Source organism: Homo sapiens, chromosome 4 (genome assembly GCF_000001405.40).
Source record: "Homo sapiens chromosome 4, GRCh38.p14 Primary Assembly".
NCBI lineage: Eukaryota > Metazoa > Chordata > Mammalia > Primates > Hominidae > Homo > Homo sapiens.
Window position 1 is genome coordinate 147968918 of NC_000004.12, and position 13280 is coordinate 147982197.

At 39.6% G+C, this 13280-nt stretch overlaps 1 protein-coding gene across 5 annotated transcripts in view, besides 1 other annotated feature; it reads left to right on the forward strand.

Moving 5' to 3' along the window:
- ARHGAP10 (Rho GTPase activating protein 10) overlaps positions 1–13280 on the forward strand; it is a 340689-nt gene that overhangs the window by 236830 nt on the left and 90579 nt on the right. The gene's annotated exons all lie outside the window — the stretch shown is intronic.
- Positions 12410–12459: an enhancer, noted in NCBI's record as "active region_22012". NCBI's record gives its function as "activates an Ori minimal core promoter by ATAC-STARR-seq in GM12878 lymphoblastoid cells {active_cell/tissue: GM12878}" and the evidence as "EXISTENCE:reporter gene assay evidence [ECO:0000049][PMID:35858748]".

Below are 13280 nucleotides of genomic sequence, written 5' to 3' on the forward strand. Positions count from 1 at the left end.
TCGGATCCTATAAACGTACCCCAGTCTAATATGTTACATAACTTATTTTCTTGTCTGTTTCTCTCTGCTAAGATCCTTGAGGCCAGAGATCTTTTTGTCCACTTATAGTAATACCTGGTACATATTAGGTGTTAATACTTATGGAGTGAAATAATGAATTCAATACATTTTGAGGGGGTTGAAGGACTGGGAAAGAGACAGGCAAACAGAAATGTAGTCCCTTTGGGGAAGGCATAGCAAGAGTATTTCTTGGGTACTTGTTGCATTGGCTGTTTGCTGGAGCAGTTCTAGCTTGTTGCTAATGTTGGGTTCTCATGGAAAAGATAAGCTTGAAAGCTGATTGGGGATTTTCTTTACCATTATGGTAAAAGCAGCTTGTTTATGGATGTGAGAAGTTTTGTTTTGCCTTTTTTTTTTTTTTTTTTTTTGCCAGTGGTGGTGAATTTATGCCTCCTTTTATGATCCTGTCAAACTGTTATTAAGCCTCATTAGTGTGCACTAAGCCATCCAGACAGCTCATGGAAAGATGGCTACTGTTCATTTTTAGAAAGAAAAATAATTAGACTACAAGCTTTGAGACAATGTTACAGTAGCTCAACAATCATTTGATTAAATCCTAATTAGGAAACCTTTATGCAATTTATTTGTGAAAATACTGGCTCTGGGTCTTGCTCTTGGATAAAAGGATCTCCATTTCATGCTGCAACTGCCTGTTTTCTTCCCTTTTTGAAGCTGGGGAGATAAGTACATGATTTGTCTGCTGGGAAGTAGATAGTGCTGCTTTCACCTTGTTAATAAATCTTACAGGAATTTTCCAGTAGCGTCGGCAAGCCTGTTACAATAGTTACAGCAGACGAAAGTGGCCTCGCTTTCAGAGCTTTATAGAGCTAAGCAGAGGTCTTTCGGTTTTCCTTCTCTTCCTTTCTGTGGCTAGATAGTTCTATGAATGCACAACCAACGTTAATTAAGTGCTCTCAGGCTTTCTATTCAGAAGGGAGCAATGGACATCGAGTTTCAGATTCTTCACTGTGTGCTTGGGTTTAGGGTTGGAAGCAGGGTTGTGTGGCAGGGTTGGAGGGTTGGAGATGGGGGATGTCAGTTTGGATTAGTTAACAGTTCTGAGAACCTAAATTTCCCCATTACCTCGCCTTGTCTCTCCCATTTCATCTTTGAACACTTCTACTCCCACTCCTGGCTCTTTGTTCCTGCTCAGTTGGACTTCACTGCAGAGTCCAGGCTCTGCTATGAGGAAGAATATTTTTGCTGACAAGGGTGCTTGTGCAGGAAAACTTCATATGGATGCGTGGATCTATGTTAGCCACGGGTTTCCCTGGCAGCTGACCTAAGTATACCCTTCAGAGGATCCTAACATTTGACTGTAGAGTGGGGAGGGAAGGATCTAGTCCCTCTTAGTGTTTCAGGACAAGATGAAAACGAGAGAGGGAGTAAGGACAGGAAAAGTTGAAAAGAGTAGTCTGAGAAAGGAAAACATTACAGTAATGGATGGCGGTGGGGGGAGGGTGCAAAAAAGGAAGGTTAAACTGGGGAGGAAAGGAAGAGGCCTATGTGTGTCACTGACAGTGGCTCTGACAGGCGAAAAATGGCGAGAAGGAAGTCATTTTCTTTTCCTCAGTTATTTGTTTTTCCTCCCTAAGAATGTGAAAAATGTTGACTCCAGGAAAGTCACTAAAGCAAAGAGGAAACTTCAACATGTAATTAAAGCAAGATTGCTCTAGATGAATTTCGGAGTTAGAAAAAGGCTCCTAGTTAATCTGCTTTGGAGATGACAATTTTTCCTAGCCTCCTTGCTGTTTTTATAAATCTGTGTATACTTTATAGGAAACTTAATCCATATGTTTTAGCTTTATTTACACATAATAAAGATGTAGACTGAGCATGGTGGCTCATGCCTGTAATCTCAGCACTTCGGGAGGCCAAGGCGGGCAGATCACCTGAGGTCAGGAGTTCGAGACCAGCCTGGCCAACATGGCAAAACCCCATCTCTACTTAAAAGAAAGTACAAGAATTAGCCAGGCGTGGTGGCGGGCACCTGTAATCCCAGCTATTCAGGAGGCTGAGGCAGAAGAATTGCTTGAACCCAGGAGGTGGAGGTTGCAGTGAGCTGAGATTGCGCCACTGCACACCAGCCTGGGTGACAAGAGCGAGACTCTGTCTCAAAAAAAAAAAAAAAAAAAAAAGAGTTCCTGGGCCAAAATATTATTAAGGTCTTTCTTCCTTTGTTAACGAGAAAATTTTATTTCCCAGGTGGCAAAGGGTGCTGTGAACTTTTCAAGGATTTTCAAATTGGGGTTGTGCCTTAGGATTTGTGAGTTTTGCATAAGTTCTGTTCTTAACAGAGTATACTTGTTATGCATTAATTTGGTGCATTTTTTCCCCCAGTGCCTGCTGTGAGTCATTCATGGTGTGAGATTTGGGGGAAGTAAAGACAGTCCAGTAGGGGAAAGAAGAAATGTCCAAAAGTAGCTACAAGATATGGCAGAGAATAAGCGCTTTGAGAGAGAGACAGAGAGAGAATGAGCGAGAAAGTGGCGGAGACTTCAGAGGAGAGTTTATGTTCAGCTGCAGGGAATCTGGAAAGTTTCCCCAGTAAGTGTTTTGAATCAGTTTTATAATGGAGTTTGAACAGGTGGAGATGTTTTAAGAGGACATTTCGGGTATGGGAGACCATGTAATCAGAGAAACACAGAGAGGAGGTACGTGTTCTGGGAATGCAGCTCTTGTTGGAACATGGGCAAATGGCAGGAGATGAGATTGGAAAGAGATTCGGGCCAGGTGTGGGAGGTTGAGAATGCCGCTTTAGGACTTTTGCATTTACTTTTATAGGTACTGGGGCCACTCATAGTTTTCAAGTAAACTGCTTCACAAAACTTAATCTGACAGCAGGATTTGCAGTAGGAAGTAGAGGAATGAAAGGCTAGGAGAGAGGTTATTTGGCATAGTCGAAGGGCATGGGAGTGAGAATGGGGAGTTCCAGGGTGGACAGCATCATTTGGTGAGGTGGAATAGGCAAAACCCGGGGACTGGGTTTGTAAGGGGTCTTGGGGAAGGTGTGATAGAGATTCAATCCTGGGACAATATGGGTGTCACTAATAAAAGGAAGGAACAAAGGGGTTTGGGGGAGGAGTAAGATGAGTTCAGTTTGTCACATGGTGAATTGTAGTTATCTGTTCAAGATAAGTCCATTAGACAGAGATTTGGTGCTCAAACTTATGAGTGAATTTAGGGGTAGAAAGTATAACGTAAGGTATAGTTAAAGACATGAGATTGGCGTAAGAAAATATTTATTGGATGCTCATGATGTTACATGCTTTGGGTCTACTATAAAGGGTATTAATGTAATTCTAGTGTATGAGGATGCTTCTTTGTGTATCCATACACTTAAAAATATATATATAAAACATAAAATTCCCATTGCATAAATATATGTAATAGTATCCCTGTATGGGTGAAAATTCTTATGTATATTATCTCTTTATACATCTGAGAGAAGTGAGGGGTGAGAGCTTAACTTGCTCATGAGCACACAGCTAGTAAAAGTGAAGTGCTTGGGTTTGAACTGAGATTGACCCCCAAAGCCTTTGCTTTTCATCACTAGGAGAAGACAGTAATATCCTTGAGAAACACCAAGATTTTCCTGTTAGGGGTAATAGAGGAGCCAGAAGAAACCCAGGCAGGATCAGGTCAGTGCTAGTGTCAGGGTTGTCTAGGGCCTTGTCAAGGATGCCAGATACGTCCCATGAGATGGGCAAGTATGAGGACAGGCTAGTGATGTGAGCTCATGAACCAGTGGCATGAGTGAGCTCTTTCAACAGTGACATTTCTTTTTTTTTTTTGAGACGGAGTTTCATGCTTGTTGCCCAGGCTGGAGTGCAGTGGCATGGTCTTGGCTCACTGCAATCTCTGCCTACCGGGTCCAAGTGATTCTCCTGCCTCAGCCTCCCAAGTAGCTGGGATTACAGGCATGTGCCACCATGCCTGGCTAATTTTGTATTTTTTAGTAGAGATGGGGTTTCTTCATGTTGGCCAGGCTGGTTTCGAACTCCTGATCTCAAGTGATCCACCGGCCTTGGTTTCCTAAAGTGCTGGGATTACAGGCATGAGCCACCGTGACTGGCCTAATGGTGACATTTCTGTTGAGAGCCAGAGTGTGGATCAACTTGTAAGATGTATGTGAATGAGTGTTTCGGAATGAGTGATATTCAGTGTCAATTTTTTTTTGTTGTTTTTGTCATATGACAAGAATAAAGCAGGAGGAAAAGCCAGAATAGACATGGAGGGGAAGGACAGAGCAGGACCACTAGTGCCTGAGTTTTACATGGCTCACTGGTCACCCTCAGAGTCTAGTGACCTGTTAGCTTATGTCTGAGGTAGGGAGTTCTTTAGAGGAACTTAAACAGGGAATGAACCCTCTCAGGAGTCACTGAGTCTGTGTAGATTGAGTCTATTATTTATTTTTAATTTTCGTGGGTACATAGTTGGTGTATGTATTTATGGGGTACATGAGATATTTTGATAGAGGCATGCCATGGGTAATAATCACAGCAGGGGAAATGGAGTCTCCACCACCTCAAGCATTTATCCATTCTTTGTGTTACAAGCAATCCAGTTATACTCTTTTAGTTATTTTTAAATGTGTAAGAAATTATTGTTGACTTCAGTCATCCTGTTGTGCTATCAAATACTGAATTTTATTCTATCTAACTGTATTTTTGTGCCCATTAACCATCCCTGCTCCCCCCGCCACTGCTCACTACCCTCCCCAGCCTCTGGTAACCATCATTCTGTTCTCTATCTTCATGAGTTAAATTGTTTCAGTTTTTTGCTCCCACAAATAAGGGAGAACATGTAAAATTTGTCTTTCTATGCCTGACTTATTTCACTTAACATAATTACCTTCAGTTCCATCCATGCCATTGTAAATGACAGGATCTCATTCTTTTTTAAGGCTGAATAGTACTCCACTGTGTATAAGTATCACATTTTCTTTATCCATTTGTCTGTTGATAGACACTTAGGATGCTTCCAAATCTTGATGATTGTGAATAGTGCTGCAGTAATCATGGGAGTGCAGATATCTCTTTGATATACTGATTTCCTTTCTTTTGGGTATACACCTAGCAGTGGGATTGCTGGATCATATGGTAGCTCTATTTTTAGTTTTTTGAGGAACCTCCAAAGTATTCTCCATAGGGGTACATTCCCACCAAGAGTGTACAGGGGTTCTCTTTTCTCTACATCCTTGCCAACATTTTTTATTGCCTGACTTTTGGATAAAAGCCATTTTAACTGGGGTGAGATGACATCTCATTGTAGTTTTGCTTTTCATTTCTCTGATGATTAGTGGTGTTGTGAACATTTTCATATACCTCATTCTTATATTTTATACATTATAATGTAATAAAAACTTTTGTTTGTAATTTGACTCCCTCCTCATCTCCCCCCACTTCCTAAGGGCCCTTGAAGATTCTGAAGAGCCTGTGAAAAGCATCAAAGATCATATTAATCAGGGTGGTTTTCTTTTAATATCTGTCTTAATACTGAAAAATTGGCAATTTATAAAGTAAGGAATATAATGTTACTCTCAGAATTACTTAATATAAGAATACAATTCAGATTACATTGATCTTATTGAGGGTTTTAATTGGATTTTCAATGAGATATGTAAAATGTGCTTTGGTTGACCTTAGCTTTGTGTGGTACTTCAGTGTGCTCTGATGTTTCATTGATTTCCTGATGATCAGGAGGTTTTTTCCTAGTACTAGCCTGTATTAGTCTGTTTTCAGGCTGCTGATAAAGACATACCCAAGACTGGGAAATTTACAAATGAAAGAGGTTTAATGGGCTCATGGTTCCACAGGGCTGGGGAGGCCTCACAATCATGGCGGAAGGGGAAAGGCATATCTTACATGGCAGCAGACAAGAGAACTTGTGCAGGGAAACTCCCCTTTATAAAACCATCAGATCTCATGAGACTTACTATCATGAGAATAGCACAGGAAAGACCCACCCCCATGATTCAATTATCTCCCACTGGGTCCCTCCCACAACATGTGGGAATATGGGAGCTACAATTCAAGATGAGATTTGGGTGGGGACACAGCCAAACCATATCATAGCCTTTATGTATTACAGTTTTTGTGGATGACTTTGTGCCAAGGGACAATTACATTTCATGTACATTAAACATTTCCTGGACAAGGATTCTTTATAACTTTGTAATAAGCATTTTAGCCTTTGTAATAGGGATTGTGGTAGAATGTGTCTTTTTTTTGGTGTGACAGTGGAGGCCATTGTGGTGGTCTTGCTTTGTTGAAATGGCTGATGGCCTTGTACTGCCCAGAGGTGTCTTCATGGCACTTTGATTTATCCTTGTTTGTAACATGTGCTTCAAAGTCCCCGAGTAGTGTGTGTCCTCCAGTCACGGAGGAGCCTAGACAGAGCAGTAGGGAGAAGGGCATATGTGTTTCCCATATGTCTTAGTCTGTATTGTGTTGCTATAACAATACTTGAGACTGGGTAATTTTGAAGGAACAGAGATTTCATTTCTTACAGTTGCATAAGCTGGAAAGCCCAAGGTTGATGAGCTGCATCTGCCAAGGGCCTTCTTGATGCATCATCTCATGGCAGAAGGACAAGAGAACATGTGAAAAAGGAGTGACAGACAGAGTGCATGTGCAAGTGAGTGAGGGCCAAACTTGCTTTTCTAACGAACTCTCTTGATTACAAACCTATGCCTGAGATAACATGAATCCATTTGTGAGGGCAGGGACCTCATGACCTAATGACCTCTTAAAGCTCACATCTCTCAACACTATTACATTGAGGATTATGTTTTCAACATATGAACTCTGAGGGATGCAGTCAGACCATAGCAGTGTCCAATGTAATCACCAGAATAATGTTACGTGCACATATAGAGGAGTATCACACTGTGTTGTTTCACTCTTGTTAACCCTGCAACCAACTTTATGACCTGCATCTACCTCTCTTTGCCACGATCAGTAGAATGCATTGGTGCTCCTAGGTTCATTGGTGTAATTGGATTCCCATTCAGTCTCAACTTGCTGCTGTCCCAGTGACAGCCACATGTGGGCTGTTTTTGATGAGGAGTATCCACTGCTTCATTCCTGTGGCTACAAACACAATATATGTCCTATCCCTCTTCCGTAGGTTGGTCTCTGTCATTCTTTAATATATAAAGAGATTGAGTGAGTAATATCCAAACCATTTTCCATCAAGTGCAAGAGTCTTCCAGTCTTACAGCATGCTTGCCATTTAATGGGAAAAAGAAATCTCTTTAAAAAACATCTAGCCAAAAATGCTTCTTGATTTAGCTTTGCTGGCACTGGGTTGCTAGGCAGCACTAGTTTTTATGTGAGAGAAAAATAAATGTCTTAAACAACAACAACAATAGCAGCAGCAATAATAAAGCTGCAAAGTTTCTAAAAGCTTTGTGTCTGCCTGAGTATTGACTGTTCAGTGTAGAAGTCAAAATCCCATAGCAAGAATATTTGACAAATTTTCAGACTCCCCCCCATCCCCAGTTTTCATGAATGTTGACTTGTTTGGCATTGCTATGAAAACTTTACTGTTTTGTGTGTGGTTTTTTTTTTTTTTTCTTCTTCTCAGCAGGGCTTTGCATTTTCTGGAGTGTTTAAAAAGAGACTTTAAAAGCACAGGAAACTTTCTGTCTTCCTTTCTCTTTCCTTTAAGGAGAGAAGGAAAATAATAATGACATTGTCTTCCTTATTCTGTTTTTCTTTAGCTGTGGCATTGGAAGCTTCTGCTGTCATGTGGCTCTGTAAATGGTAGATTGTATTTTCCCTTGGGACCAGAGTGGTTTGATAAGAGCAAATTTAGGAGAGAGTCATTCTGCATCATTTTAGTGCCCAGTATAGACAAAGCACTGGGGAAAATTGAAGGGCTCCAATATAAAGTGTGCATAGATTTATTCTGTGTTGTCTGAGAAAGCATACTGAGTACAAGTGAGCAGTACTTGCCATGAGGTGAGTTTTTGATTCACTAGAAAGAAGAACTTCGTAATATTTATAATAATGAGAACATGTTCATGTTAGGGATGGGATTGAGGTGGAAGAAAGCAGGCCTCTGAGGTCCTGCCCACTCTGAAATTTTCTGCCCAAGCATCTGGAGATGCGGAGCTGCAAAGAGAGCTCCTCGGAGCCTAGCTTAGTGTTTAGAACTTGGCATTCAATCAGTATTTGCAGAATAAAAAATGATGATGAAGAATATCACCCTATTCTTCATTGCATTTTTAGGTTGTTTATATTCCCAGGAACAACAAGACTACTTGGAAGGGAAGATAGGAAGGAAAGAATGAGAGGGCGAGTGTGGTGGCGTATGTGTAGGTCGGCTCCAGGGAAGGCACCATCAGGTGCCTTTTCTTGAGGGGAGAGGGTAGTTTGGGTATATATGGGCTTGGTTTTTTGCCTTGAGCTAGTGCTCACTATGTATTTTTTCTTTGTAAAATAAAGCTTTTAGAGCTGTCTTTTTTGTATCTCTCAAGATAAAATTGGGAGCAATAATAATTATAATAGCTAACACTGATTGAAAGATGATTGTGTGCCAGGCACTAGGCTGGGCTCCTTATATGACATTTAATTGGACATTCCATAGACAGTTTAGTATAATATGGCATAGTAGGCTCTAAAGTGGAATTCCTGGAGTTGAAATCTCAGCTCCACTCAATTGTGTGACTTTTTTTTTCCATTTTATTTTAGATTTGGGGGTACATGTACAGGTTTGTTACAGGGATATATTACATGGTGTTGAAGTTGGAGCTTTGATCCTGTCACCCATATGGTGAACATAGTACTCAACAGGAAGTTTTTCCACCCTTTCTCTCTCTCTCCCCCTCCCCCTCCCCTTTTGGAGTCTCCAGTGTCTATTACTTTCATCTTTATATCTGTGTAAACCCAAGATTTAGCTTCCACTTATAATTGAAAACATGTAGTAGTTCGTTTTCTGTTTCTCCATTAGTTCACTTAGGATAACAGCTTTTAGCTGCATCCATGTTGCTGCAAAGGACGTGATTTTGGTTTTTTAACTTTGTTGCTGCATAGTATTCCGTGGTGTATATGTACCACATTTTCTTTATCCACTCCACTATTGATGGGCACTCTATTGATTCCATGTCTTTGTTATTGTGAATAATGCTGCGATTAACATACAAGTACTGCATGTGTCTTTTGGGTGGAATGATTTATTCATTTATTTTTTTTGGATATATACCCAGTAAGGTATTGCTGGGTCGAATGGTAGTTCTATTTTTAGTTCTTTGAGAAATGTCCAACTGCTTTCCACAGGGGCTGAGCTAATTTGCATTCCCACCAACAGTGTATAAGCATTCCCTTTTTTTCCCACAACCTCACTAGCACCTTATTTTTTGACTTTTTAAATAATCGCCATTCTGACTGGTGTGAGATGGTGATATGGTTTGGCTCTGTGTCCCCACTCAAATCTCATGTTGAATTGTAATTCCCAGTGTTGAGGGAGGGACTTAGTGGGAGGTGATTGGATAATGGGGGTGGATTTTCCCCATGCTGTTCCTGTGATAGTGAGTTTTTCTCAGATCTGATGGTTTAAAAGTGTGTGGCACTTCCCCCCTTGCTTGCTCACTCTCTCCTGCTCCGCCACAGTAAGGTGTGCTTGCTTTTCCTTCGCCTTCCACCATGATTGTAATTTTCCTGAGGCCTCCCAGCCATGCTTCATGTACAGCCTGTGGAACTGTGAGTCAATTAAGCCCCTTTTCTTCATAAATTACCCAGTCTCAGGTAGTTCTTTATAGCAGTGTGAGAATGGCCTAATACAGATGGTATCTCATTGTGGTTTCAATTTGCATTTCTCTGAAGATTAATGATGTTGAACAATTTTTTCATATGTTTTTTGGCCATTTGTCCGTCTTCTTTTGAGATGTGTCTGTTCATGTCTCTTGCCCACTTTTTAATGGGGCTGTTTTTTCTTAATTATTCATTTCAGTTCCTTATAGATTCTGGAAATTAGTTCTTTGTCAGATGCATAGTTTGCAGATATTTTCTCCCGTTTTGTAGATTGTCTGTTTCCTCTGTTGAGAGTTTCTTTTGCTGTGCAGAAGCCCTTTAGATTAAGTCCCGTTTGTCTGTTTTTGATTTTGTTGCATTTGCTTTTGGGGTCTTCATAAATTTTTTGCCTAGGCGACTATCTGGAAGAGTATTTCCTAGGTTTTCTTCTAGAATTTTTAGAGTTTGAAGTCTTACATTCAAGTCTTGACTCCATCTTTAGTTAATTTATTGTATATGATGAGAGGTAGTAGTCTAGTTTCATTCTGCTGCATAGAGTTAGCCAGTTTTCTCAGCACCATTTATTGAATAGGAAGTCCTTTCCCCCTTGTTTTTTGTCAGCTGTGTCAAAGGTGACTTGGTTGTAGGTGTACGGCTTTATTTCAGGGGTCTGTGTTCTGTTCCATTGGTCTATATATCCTATTTTTGTGCCCATACTATGCTGTTTTGGTTATTGTAGCCTTGTAGTATTGTTTGAAGCCGGCTTTGTTCCTTTTGCTTAGGATTGCCTTGACTGTTGAGGCTTTTTTTTTCATTCCATGTGAATTTTAGAAAAGTGTTTTCTAATTCTCTGAAAAATGACATTGGCAATTTGATAGAAGTAATGCTGAATCTGTGGATTGCTTTGGGCGGTATGGAGATTTTAATGATACTGATTCTTCCAACCCATGAGCATGGAATGCTTTTCCATTTATTTGTATTGTCTGTGATATCTTTCAGCAGTGTTTTGTAGTTCTTCTCACGGACATCATTCACTTTCTTGGTTAAATATATGCCTGGGTTTTTGTGTAGGTGTGTGGCTATTGTAAATGGGATTGCATTCTTGATTTACTTCTCAGCTCAGATGTTACTGATATAAAGAAATGTTGATTTTTATCTGTTGACTTTGCATCCTGTATCCTGAAACTCTGCTGAAGTTGTTAATCAGATCTAGTAGTCTTTTGGCAGCATCTTTAGGGTTTTCCAGGTAGAGAATCATATTGTCAGTGGAGACAGATAATTTGACTTCATCTTTTCCTATTTGGAATGCCTTTGCTTTCTCTTGCCTGATTGCTCTGGGTAGGACTTCTAGTATGTTGAATAGGAATGGTGAGAGTGGACACCCTTGTCTAGTTCCGGTTCTTAAGGAAAATGCTTCCAGCTTTTACTCATTCAGTATGATGCTGGCTGTGGGTTCATCATAAATGGCTTTTATTATTTTGAGGTATCTTCTTTCAATGCCTAGTTTGTTGGTTTTTTTCTTTTTATCATAAAGACATATTGGATTTTATCAAATGCTTTTTCTGTGTCTATTGAGATGATCATATAGTTTTTGTTTTTAATTCTGTTTATGTGGTAAATCACATTTATTGATTTGGGTAGATGAACCACTGCTACATCCCAGGAATAAAGCCTACTTGATCATGGCAAATTAACTTTCTGATATGCTGCTGGATTTGGTTTACTAGTATTTTGTTGAGGATTTTTGCATCTGTGTTCATTGGAGATATTGGCATGTAGTTTTTTGTTGTTGTTTTGTCTTTTCCAGCTTTTAGTGTTAGGATGATACTGGTTTCAAAGACAGGGTTTGGAAGGATTCCCTCCTCTATTTTTTGGAATTGTTCCAGTAGGATTGGTACCAGCTCTTTTTTGTAAGCCTGGTAGAATTTGGCTGTGAATCCATCTCGTCCAGGGCTTTTCTTGGTTGGTAGGTTTTTTAAATTACTGATTCAGTTTCATTACTCCATTATCGGTCTGTTCAGGATTTCTCTTTCTTCTTGATTCAATTTTGGGAAGTTGTGTGGTTGTATGTTTCCAGGAATTTGTCTACTTCCTCTAGATTTTCTAATCAGTGTGCATAGAGATGTTCATAGTAGTCTCTGGAGATCTTTTCTATTTCTGTGGTATCGGTTGTTATGTCACCTTTGTTATTTTTGATTGTGCTTATTTGGATCTTCTCTCCTTTTCCTTTGTTAATCCAGCTAGCAATCCTATCAATCTTGTTAATCCTATCAATCTTGTTTATCCTTTCAGAGAACCAACTTTTCATTTTATTGATCTTTAGTATGGTATTTTTGGGTCTTGGTTTCATTTAGTTCTGCTCTGATTTTAGTTATTTCTTTTCTTTTGCTAACTTTGGGTTTAGTTCTTGTTTTTCTGGTTTCTTTAGGTACAAGGTTAGGTTGTTAATTTGAGATCTTTCCACTTGATGTAGGTGTTTTGTGCAGTAAACGTTCCTCTTAACATTGCTTTTGCCATGTCTCAGAGATTTTGGTATATTATGTCTACTTTTGTTTGTTTCAAAGAAGTTTTTGATTTCTGCATTAATTTTGTGGTTTACCCAAAAGTCATTCAGGAGTTAAGTTGTTTAGTTTCCATGTATTTGTGTGTTTTTTAGAGTTGCTCTTGGTATTAATTTCTATTTTTATTCCATTGTGGTCTGAGAAGATGCTTGGTATGATTTCAGTTTTTAAAAAGTATATTGAGACTTGCTTTATGATTCAGCATGTGTTCAGTCTTTGAGAATGTTACATGTGCAGATGAGGAGAATGACTATTCTGTGGTTGTTGGGTATTCTGTAGATGCCTATTAGGTCCGGTTAGTCAAGTGTTGAATTTAAGTTCAGAATTTCTTTGTTCATTTTCTGCCTCTGTGATGTGTCTAATGCCATCAGTGAAGTGTTGAAGTCTCCTCCTATTATTATGTGGCTGTCAAAGTATTCTCTTAGGTCTAGAAGTAATTGTTTTATAAATCTGGGTGTGCCAGTGTTGGGTGCAAATACATTTAGAATAGTTAAATCTTCTTGTTGAATTTAACCTTTTATCATTATGTAATGCTCTTACTTGTCCTTTTTTTTACTGTTGTTGGTTTAAAGTCTATATTTTCTGATATATGTATAAGAGTAGGGACCTCTGCTCTTTTTCGATTCCATTTGTGTGGTAGATTTTCCTCCATCCCTTTACTTTGAGCCCAGGGGCGTGATCATATGTGAGATGGGTCTCTTGCAAACAGCAGAAGGACGGATCTTGGTTTTAAAATTCAATTTGCCACCCTATGTCTTTTATTTTTAGTCTTTTTTCAAAAGACAGGGTTTTGCTCCATCACCCGTGCTGGAAGTGCAGTGGTATGAGTATGGGTCACTGCAGCTTTGACTTCCCAGGCTCAAGTGATCCTTTTGCCTCAGCCCCCTGTCTCTTCTGGTTTATAAAGTTTCTTCTGTGAAGT